This window comes from Homo sapiens, chromosome 22, assembly GCF_000001405.40.
Source record: "Homo sapiens chromosome 22, GRCh38.p14 Primary Assembly".
Taxonomy (NCBI): Eukaryota; Metazoa; Chordata; class Mammalia; order Primates; family Hominidae; genus Homo; species Homo sapiens.
In genome coordinates this window covers 48102599-48113448 of record NC_000022.11, presented here as the reverse complement: position 1 = coordinate 48113448, position 10850 = coordinate 48102599, and the positions used below count along the sequence as shown (strand labels likewise).

General features: G+C 43.6%; 1 annotated feature.

The window, feature by feature from the left end:
• Positions 511-560: an enhancer, noted in NCBI's record as "active region_19275". NCBI's record gives its function as "activates an Ori minimal core promoter by ATAC-STARR-seq in GM12878 lymphoblastoid cells {active_cell/tissue: GM12878}" and the evidence as "EXISTENCE:reporter gene assay evidence [ECO:0000049][PMID:35858748]".

The following is a 10850-nucleotide window of genomic DNA, read 5'->3' as shown; positions in this document are numbered from 1 at the left end:
GGGGAACAGAAGGTGTACCTATGCATCCCCAGAATTATTTGGGTCTGATCTCCTCAGATTGAGTCACTGAAACGCATGCCAACATATACGTGGAATACAACCCATGCGCTGGAAGCACCAGCCAGGTAACCACACATAGTTAATTTTATGTGTCAACTTGACTGGGCCACGGGGTGCCCAGATATATGGTCAAACATTATTCTAAGTGTTCCTGTAAAGGTGTTTTTGGAGGAGATTAACATTTAAATCAGGAGACTGGATAAAGAGATTGCCCTGCCTAACTCGGGTGAGTCCATCAAATCAGCTGAAGACCTGAATAGAAAAGAGGCTGACCCTCCCCCGAGCAGGAGGAAATTCCCCTACCTGACCACCTTCAAACAACAACATGGTCTTATTTTCTGCCTTCAGACTGGGATGGGGACATTGGCTGTCACTGGGTCTTGGAATCAGCTTTAGACTGAAACTGTACTATCAGGCCTCCTAGATCACTTGCTGACTCACCCTGCAGATCTTGGGACTTTCCGGTCTCCATAATTGTGTGAGCCAATTTCTAACAATAAATCTTATTGTAATAAGTTTCTCTCTCTCTCTATCTCTCCCTCCCTGCTTCTCTCTCTTCCTTTCTCCCTCTCTCTCTTCCGTTTCTCTGGAGAACCCTGACTACTACACCACAGGGTCCTGAATCATCCCCATTGATATTTAAGATCTTTAAGCCAAAATAGACAAGTGGTGTCACACTTTAACAAGGTCCAGAATGAATGTGAATTGTGCAGCTGGATTCCTAGACACCAAGACAGCTGCCTGTACAGGATCCCCCATTATCCCATTAACTTCACATACTGTGATCCTGCAGTTCACACAACTGGAGGTACCGAATCTCAACGTGGTTGGGTTTTCCTATGCACAGTACATCAGGCAGTGATAGGTTTATGGAGGAAAACAAAGCAGCGGGTCCTGATAAGCCCCATTGATAAAGTCACAGTTTCCTGCAAGTTTCCTTCATTCATACATGCAACTCTTTATTTACATAATTTATATCATGATGAAGATCCAATTTCATTTTTATAATGCAATTTATAATATAATTTGTTTATAATTCACACACCATAAATATCACTCCTTTGAAGGTTGTAATTCAAAAGGTTTGAATGTATTCATAGAGGGGTGCACAGTCACCACGATAGAATTTGAGAACATTTTTATTACCCTGAAAATAAATTCCATATCCATTGGCAGCTACTGCCTCTCCTCTCAGCTCCTGGAAAGCACTCATCTACTTTGTCTCTATGGATTTGTCTATTCTTGACATTTTATGACAATAGAATCATATAACTTGGGATCTTTTATGATAGCTTCTTTCAATTAACGTAATGTATTTACGATTCATCTATGTTATAGCATGTGTTATATTTCATTCCTTTCTTGTGGCTGAAAAATATGGCATTATATGAAGAGACCACATTTGTTTATCTATTATCCAGTTGACAGACTTTTGGTTGTTTCCACTTGGTAGCTGCTACGAATAATGTTGCTATGAACATTTACACACAAGTTTGTGTGTGGACATGTATTTCACTTCTCTTAGGTATTTACCCAGGAGTGGAATTGCTAGGTCATACGGTAACGCTACCTGTAACATTTTGAGAAATATTAGACTCTTTCCTAATGTGACTTCACCATCTTAAAATTCTACAAGCAGTGTGCAAGAATTCCTGTTTCTTCACATTATTGCCAACACTTGCTATTTGTTTGTCTTTTTTTTTTTTAATTTAAGCCAACCTAGTAGGTATGAAGTGGTATCTCATTATGGTTTGGATTTGCGTATCTCTGATAAAATGACTAATGATGTCGAGTATCTTTTCATGGGCTTATCCACCATTTATTTGCATATCTTCTGTGGAGAAATATTCAATATTTCGCTCATTTTAAAATTGTTTTATTTTCATTTTTATTATTCAATTTAAGAGTAGTCTATATATTCTGAATACAGGTACCTTCTCAGATATATAATTTGCAAATGTTCTCTCCCATTCTGTGGGTTGTCTTGTCACTTACTTAATGTTGCCTTTTGAACCACAAAAGTATTTAATTTTAATAAAGTCTAACATGGTGAAATAACTAAGAAACAATTACCTATACCAAGATTACAAAGTTTTACTCTTATGTTTTCTTCTAAGAAGATTATAGTTTTAACTCTAGTTAGAGCTAATAAACTTACCTACAAGAGTAATGGTCTAGGATCTCTTTTGAATTAATATTTGTACATGAGGTATGGTAGGGAGCCCAACATCATTCTTCAGCATGTACAAAGCAGTGGCCCTATCACCATTTATTGAAAGGATTTTTTTTTTTTCCTAGTGAATGGTCTTGGCACGGTTGCCCAAAATCAGTTGATCATAATTACAATGGTCATTTTTAGACACCCAATTCTATTGAATCTAGGTGTCTATAGATTCCATTGATCTATATAGGTCTATCTTTGTGCTGGTACCTACATCAATTATTGCAGCTTTATAGTAAGTTTTGAATTTGAGAAATGTTTGTTCTTCTTTTCAGGATTGTTCTTACTATCCCAGGTTCCTTTAATATTCCTAAGGATTTTAGGATCATCTAGTAAGTTTCTGCAAAAAAGCATTTGGGATTTTGATAGGGATTATTTTAAACCTGTACATCAATTTGGGGAGCATTGCCATCTTATCAATATTAAATCTTCTGATCCATGATAATGGGAAATTTTTCCATCTATTTAAGTCTTCAATTTTTCAAAAATATTTGTGGTTTTCAGTATGCACATTTGTAGATTTTTGGTAAATACTTTTCTAAGTACTTTGTTCTTTTCAATGCTATTATAAATTGACTTTTTTTGAAAAAAATTCGTTTTCAGATTGTTTATTGCAAGTGTATAGAAATACAATCTTGTGTATTTGTCATGTACCTGAAACCTTGATGAATTTGTTTATTAGTTTTAATAGTTTTGCAGGTGTGTGTATTTTGTGGGTTCTATAGGGTTTCCTATATGCAAGATCGAGTTATCGGGAAATATAGTTTTACTTCTTTCATCCCAATCTGGAAGCTGTTTATTGCTTTTTCTTGCCTCTGTTCTCTCACTGGCATCTCCAGTAAAATGTCAAATAGAAGTGATGAGAGCAGATATCATTGACTTGTTCCTAATCTTAAGAGGAAAACAGTATTTCACCATTAAGTATAATGTTAGCTGTGAGATTTTCATAGATGCCTTGTATCAGGATGAGGAAGTCTCATTCTACTCATAGTGTCTTAATTGTTTTTATCATGAAAATGTGTTGGGATTTGTCAAATGCTTTTTCTTTATCTACTGAGATGTCATATTGTTTGTTCTTTTCTTTATTGATATGGGGTATTACATTGATTTTCAGATGTTTAACCAACATTGAAATCCCTCTTGGTCATGGCATATAATCCTTTTTCTCAGTTGCTGGATTAGGTATGCTAGTATCTCCTTGAGGATATCTGCACCTGTATTCATAAGGAGTTTTCTTTTCTTTTGTGATGTCCACATCTGGTTTATTTATGATGGCTGGAAGAATGTTGAAGGTACATGATAAGTATACAAAAATAAATATTATTTCTATACACTTGCAATAAACAATCTGAAAACAAAATTTGAACAAGTCAAGGTATAATAGCATTAAAAAGAACATAGAACTTAGGAAAATATTTAACAAAAAATGTCTCTGACTAGTGAGCCCAACATCTGGGCCCCTGAGGGACAGTTGCTATTGTCTCTGCATTGAGTATACTTTTTGTTTCTTTGAGTGTCTCATAATGTTTTGCAGAAAACTACATATTTTATTTTATTTTATTTTATGTATTAGTTTTTTGAGACACAGTTTCACTCTGTCGCCCAGACTGGACAGTGGAGCCGTCTCAGCTCACTGCAACTTCCACCTCCTGGGTTCAAACGATTCTCATGCCTCAGCCTCCTGAGTAGCTAGGATTACAAGCATGCACCATCGCACCTGGCTAATTTTTGTAATTTTAGTAGAGACGGGATTTCACCATGTTGGCAAGGCTGGTCTCAAACTCCTGACCTCAAGTAATCCACCCTCCTCAGCCTCCAGAATACTATACATTTTAAATAATAAAATATGACAACTCTGGAAATCAGATTTCCCCCATTTCCCAGATATTTGTTGTTATCGTTCCTGCTTTTTTTTTAGTGACTGTCCTGAACCGTTTCTGTAATATCTGTATTCTTTGTTGTGTGTGGTCCTCTCCTTGGTTGGTTTAGTTGTCAGCTTATGATAGGAAGTGGATTTCCTTAAATGGCTTCACCCAATGTCTCCTTGCCTTTGCTGAGGGTCCTGTGGGTCTCTGTGGTGCACTTCCAATGCTCCAGCAGGCAGTCACAGCTCCACCTTAGCCCTCACTTCCCACTTGCACAGGTCAGAGAGGCTGAGTCCATGTTGGGTCCTCCCTGGGCATGTGCACAGCCTGGGATGTGTGTGTAGCCTTCTAGGTTACCAGGAATATTTTGAAGATTTTCAAAGCCTCTTTTGGATATCTCATTCTTCCAATTTTCTTTTTAAGATATTTAACCAGTCTCTTGTTTTCTTATGCTGGTAATAGTGGGTCAAGAATGTTAAAATTACTGATGACTGTTTTTGACAAACAACCAGGAATGTAGCTTGTTTGTCCAGACAGAGTTAGATCAAATAAAGGCAAGCCCTTGGTCACTTGCAGGTAACTGTCAGACAGGACAAATTGTGAAAGTTCTCTAGGTTGGGAGCTTTCTGGGGAACACCAAGCTCATTCCATTCTCTCTGGGGTCCTTCAGGATGAGGGTTTCACAGCAACTGTGGTTCTGAGGCTGCTTATTTTTATGACATGTGTTAATTAACTTTATGGTTCAGCTTGTCTTGGCCACAGGGTGGCCAGACATTTGATCAAACATGATTCTGGCTGTGCCTGCGAGGGTGTCTCTGGATGACGTTAGCATTTGAACTGGTGGACTAAGTAAGGCAGATGGCTGTCCAGTGTGGGTGAGCCTCATCCAATCAGTTGAAGGCCTGAGTAAAACAGAAAGCCTGGGTAAGATGGAGTGCTTCTCATCTGACTAGACAGGGCCGTCTGCCTTACTTAGTCCACCAGTTCAAATGGCTGATGTCTTTCAAACTATTATTATTATTATTACATAAAGATGTATATATTATATATCTATATGTAATAATAGATAATAATGATAGTGTGAAAGCCATCAGCCTCAATAAAATCCAACTTTGTAAAAATCCAGTATCAATTATCTATATGTTGGATGTTATATACATGTATAATATACATATAATATATAGATATATAATAATATAATAATTATGTTATATTATATAATTAAGATATTTAGCCAGTCTCTTGTTTTATGTATATATGTTACATATGTACAATATACATATAATATTATGTATGTAATACTATAAATATATTTAATGGTATAAAATATTATAAATTATATATAAATATATAAATAGGAAATATATATGTATATATTTTTTAAAATATATTTATATATTTAGTATATAAATATAAATAAGAGATATACATTAATCTACATTTATAATATAAATAAATAAGAGATATATAGGAGATTGTTAATATATAGGAGATATATATTTATAGGTATAAAATATTTATAAATAGGAGATATATATTTATGTACATACATAAACAATAGGAAATGTTGTTTCTATTGTTTCTGTTCCTCTGGAAAACCCTGATTAATGCACCTTGATGTGAGGCTGTTGGTTTTTAAAGCCTCACAATTAAAGCTGTTGGTGGAAATGCAGAGGGGGAGGTGGAAATAGTGTGAGTCAAAACACCACAGAGCTCCCTGTTATTACTGAGAGTCAGCCATTTTTTTTCTGAAAAAAACACAAAGATGCTTCTTGGGTTGCTTTGGGGCTTTGTTTCATGTGTAGAGTTCTGAAAACAAAGTTGATTTTGGCAGATTTTTCCAGTGTTCTCATTGCTTTTATGGAGGTGTAGGTTTTTGGAGGTCCTAACCCCACTGACACAGAAGCGCTCCTCTGCAGATCTAATTACGTCTCTTGGTCTCTCCCAGAATTTGCCTGGATCTTCTTCATGAGAATGCCTCATGATGGTCATGTGGAGGTCCTCACTTTGGTGGACTGAGGCAAAAGCCAGATGCAGGATCTGTAAGAGCAGAGAATTGGGAGTAGACTTATTTGAAAGGGATCTGGACATCTGAGAATTGGGTGAGGGAGCCTCATCCTGGGCTAGCGTGTGGGGAACCATGGACAGCCTCAGGTGGGCTCTTGCCTGGGAACACCCAGAAAGACCTGCCTATGGCTGGCCTGGACCTGGGGCAGAAGAAATGGCAAGGGACGCCTGCCGCTTTGAAGGCAGCATCTGAGAGGAGCCTCTTCAGGTGCAGAACGAAACTCTGTGGACACTGATATAGGATGCATATTTGTCCCCACCCAAGTCTCATGTTGAAATGTATTTCCCAGTGTTGCGGGGGGGGGCAGTGGCAGGTATTGGACCATGGGGGGATCCCTCCAGAATGGCTTGGGCCATCCACCCCCTTAGTGATGAGTGAGCTCTGAGTTTGCACGAAATCTGGTCATGTAAAAGTGCATGGCATCCCCCTAACTCTCTCTCCTGCTTCCTCCATGTGACATGCCTGCTCCCCCTTTGCCTTCCACCATGATTGGAAACTTCCTGAAGCTTCTCTAGAAGCTGAGCAGATGCCAGCACCATGCCTCCTGTACAGCCTGCAGAACTGTGAGCCATGGAAACCTCTTTTCTTATAAATTACCCAGGCTCAGGTATTTCTTTACAGCAATGCCAGGATGGCCTGACACACACACTGTGCACTGAGGACAGGCCGGATGCCTAGAGCCAGAAGTGGCATGAGCTGCTGTAGGAGAGCTGGCCTCTGTAGCTGGCATGTCAGAGCCGAGGCAGAGTGGCCAGAGCCCGCGAAGGACCAGACCTGGGGGCTGTGCTGAGAGTTTGGGGGGAATCTATGAGGCATGTGCACCCTCTATTGAGGACCTGACAGGGCAGATTCTCGGCTGCACAGGATTCCCTGTTAACCGCAGTGAGAAACACCAACCAAGCCAGCTTGAAAAGCAAACACATGAAGAGAAGGAGAACAGGACATCAGAAACCTGGAGAACGCGGGCTTTGAACGTCAGGGGCAGGTACTGTGCTTTGAAAGCAGAATGCGTCCCGTCCATTGTGAATCTCCTGAAGTAGGGCAGACTCCACATGGGCGAAAGGTGTTAGCCATGGAAGAGACATTGCAGGCACCATTCATTCAGTTTTCTCTCAGCTATTCTTGTAATCAAGGGTTACATCAATTTATTTCATAATCTTTCCAGAGCGCCTGCTCTGGGTTCTAGGCACTGGAGATTCAGCTATGAAGAAAAGAGAAATATTCCTTATCCTAGTGAAACTGTAGGGAGAGAGAGACCAAACAAACAACAGAAATAGGTAAACAGTATGATGATGAGCTTTCCTGAAAAAGAGAGAAAAGGGATGAGCAAGTGCAGTGCTACTTTGCGGGGTGACAGGGAGGCTCCCAGAGACTCAGGGGCTGAAAGCAGGGAGAGCAGAGGGATGTGGGTGTGTGTGTGCCCTGGACCCCCAGCGCTGGGTACAGTCTGATGAAAGGAGGGAGGGAGAAAGGAAGGGTAAACGGGGGGATGGAGGAACACATGAGCAAGGCAGCAAATTATTTTTTGTCTCTATGAAAAAAAAAAAAAAAAAAAAAAAAAACCCTGCTTCTGGCCCCCAGGACCTAACATTTCCGAGAGCTCACGTTGCAAACACAAGAGCTCTTTGGAGACAGAGGCTATGTCGCCCTCTCCTGTGTCACCACCCAAGGCTTGGTGCTTGCCTGTGGGTCTTCCCAGCTCTTCTCAGGATGCAAATCCCATGGTGGCGCGTCCCTGTTTAAAGCCCTCTGGTCCCGCTGGAGCAACGCCCAGCCCTTTGCCTGCCAGGGCCTCATCCATCTGTCCCGGCCTCTCTCCCTGCTGCACCTGCCCCAAGAACCTCACACCCAGCCCACCTGCCCCATCTTTCCTCTCCCCCCGCCCCTAGGCTGCCCCCCTTCTGAGGTCTTCTCCACTGTCCCCCTGTCCTGGGGCTCTGCTGCCCCTCCCTGGGATTTTACACCATTTTTTCATCATACGGAATTATTTTTGTTTCTTTCCTTGCTTTTTGTTTCTCCTAACTCACTCTGATGTCAGCGAGAGCAGGGCCTTTTCTCTCCAGATTCCTACCAAATTGCCCCCACCTAGCATCTCGCCTCCCGCAGGCTGGCTGCAAATCAATATTTCTTGAATAAATGAATGCATTTCGCCTGTGGATGTTTCTTCTGTCCTAAGCAGACCCATTTCCCTCCAAGCGGGGAATCAGCAAACGTACGTACAGGGCAAGTGAGCACCTATTTTCGGGTTTGTGAACCATGCAGTGTCGGCCTCAACTCCCCGATTCAGCTGCGGCAGTGTGGGGGTAGCCGTGGGTGACACGTCAGTGCAGAGCGTGGCTGCGTTCCAGTGGGACTTTATTTATAGACACTGAAATTTGAATTTCATATCATTGCCATGTATCATGAAGTGGTATGTTTAAATTTTTTCCTATTTAAAAATGTTTTTTAAAACGTCTTAGCTCACAGACCCTGCAAAAGCAGGCAGCAGGGCCACATTTGGCCACACAAGCCATCTGTATCGACCCCTGCCCTGCGAGATGCATTTGAGAATGGAAAGATTTGGTCAGTCCATACGCTCATGTTTATTGAGTGTCTACGAAGGGCTCCACGCTGGACGTGGGGAGGGTGAGACAGAGAATGAGTACGACATGGAGCCTCCGCCCAGGCGTCCTGGGCACCTGCACATAGGGTGTGCAGCCTGCAGCAAGGGGCATCTGGACGCCAGATGAGCCAAGTGCAGCCAAGGAGAAGTAGCCCTGGCTCTGCTGGCGGCATCAGGGATGCTGCTTGGAAGGGTTTGAAGAGCTCCAAGCCAACACAGCGATAGATAGAGGATGTCAGCGGGCAGAGGGTAACCAGGACCCACAACAGCGTGGTGCCCGTGAAGACGGCAGGCCACTGTGGTTTTCAGAAGGGTGCAGCCCAGGAATACACGTTCCTCGGGACCCTGAGACTTCTGGTAGACTCCCCACCCAGGCAACAGGGGAGTTGTGTGGAGTCCCCACTCTGTTACCATGGGCCCCATGGAGAACCCTGGAAGAGAGGCTGTAGCTGTCAGGGAGTGGCAGAGCTGTGGAGCATATTGATTAATGGATCAATGTCAAGTTGGAGGGAAGTCTCCAGTGGCACCTGTCCACTCCCCATCCTGGTCCGTTTCTATCAATGACTTGGATGAGCTGTAACAGACCTGCTTGTCAAATGTGCAGATCAAAGCTCACAGGGGAGGCTAATGTGGTGGAGGAAATTGTCCAGACAGAAAAGACCTCTTGACAGGCCGAAACAATGGACTGAAGTGAACAAGATGGAATTGAGTAGGGTTAAAAGTGAAGCCCTGCTTGTTCCCTGGATTAAAACAAAAACCAACCGCAGGTAAACAAAACGGTTTGTGATTCATGCCGTGTACACCTGCGGGTGTTGCTGGCCCCAGCCCTGAGCCCAGATCATCAGACGGGCTGCCCCGCACGCGAGGGACCCCAGCCCCCTACAGAGGGGCCAGCCTGGGAAAGGGCAAAGTGCACCCACTGCAGGATTGCAGGATTGCAACCGCGTCCGGGGTTACACTCCCTTTCAGTGGATGCTGACCACGAGGAACACATCCAGAGCAGAGTAACCAGTGCCAAGTGTGTGTTGGAAACGTGCAGGTCAGACGGAGGGCGACAGGCTGTTGGAAGCTCAGAGCAGTCCTCCACCCTCTCAGCGCCTCTGCTGGGAAAGAGGCTTCTAATGACTCTGGAAGAAGAACACTCCCATGTGGATGAAGATCTTTCTCCTGTCCTGCAGAAAAACATCCTCACGAGCTCGAACAGGCTGGATGTGTACTGGGGACACAGGTCCACTGGGTGGAGAGACAGCGAGGCAGATTTTTGGCTGAATGGAAGGACAGCTTTTCTGACAAGAGCAGTTAGCTGTGGCATGAGCTGCCTCCTGGGGAGCGAGCCCTGTTGCTGGCAATGATGGGCAGAGGCTAAGCCATCTGTTGCGTCTCCAGAGGACCCCTTCCCCCAATGCAGACGGAGCCTCCCGTCCAAACCTTCATTTTACAGATGGAAAGGCTGAGGCTGGAAGAGCCGGAGCATGCCCAGAATGGCCCATGTTAGCTCTCCAGGGTCTGTGGAATTCCACTTTCAGAGCTCTTCTCTTGAGGCCAAGACGAGAACTACGTGAGACACGTGGAAATGGAGGAAGTGTGTGTGTTGGGACCTGGAGAGGCCGGGGGGAATGGAGCACCTCACCCTCTCTGAGTCAGGATCCAAACGAGAAGTAGAAAGTGAAAGACCAGAGTCACAACATCTGCACTGTGCCCTGAGCCATGCAGTACTCAGGTTGGATGGAGGACCTTGCTACAGCTTCATCCCAAATAAATGCAGCATCTGGAAAATGGCAGGGTGGGGGCTCCTTCCAGGGGCAGAATGAGCTCCACTAGGCCAGGCACAGAGGGTCGGGGCCAAGGTCCACTGTGGCCCTGGGAGGCCAGACAGGGAGAGCCCAGCAGCTCGGAGCCACCTGGGCGCCATGGAGTGTGTTCACTGAATCCACGCCTCTTCCCTGGGAGAAGTGGGTGGGCAGAGGGGAGGGTGGAGGATTCCTTCCAATACCCCTGGAAGGTGAAGGTTCAGGTTCCTGTGTGACACTGGGA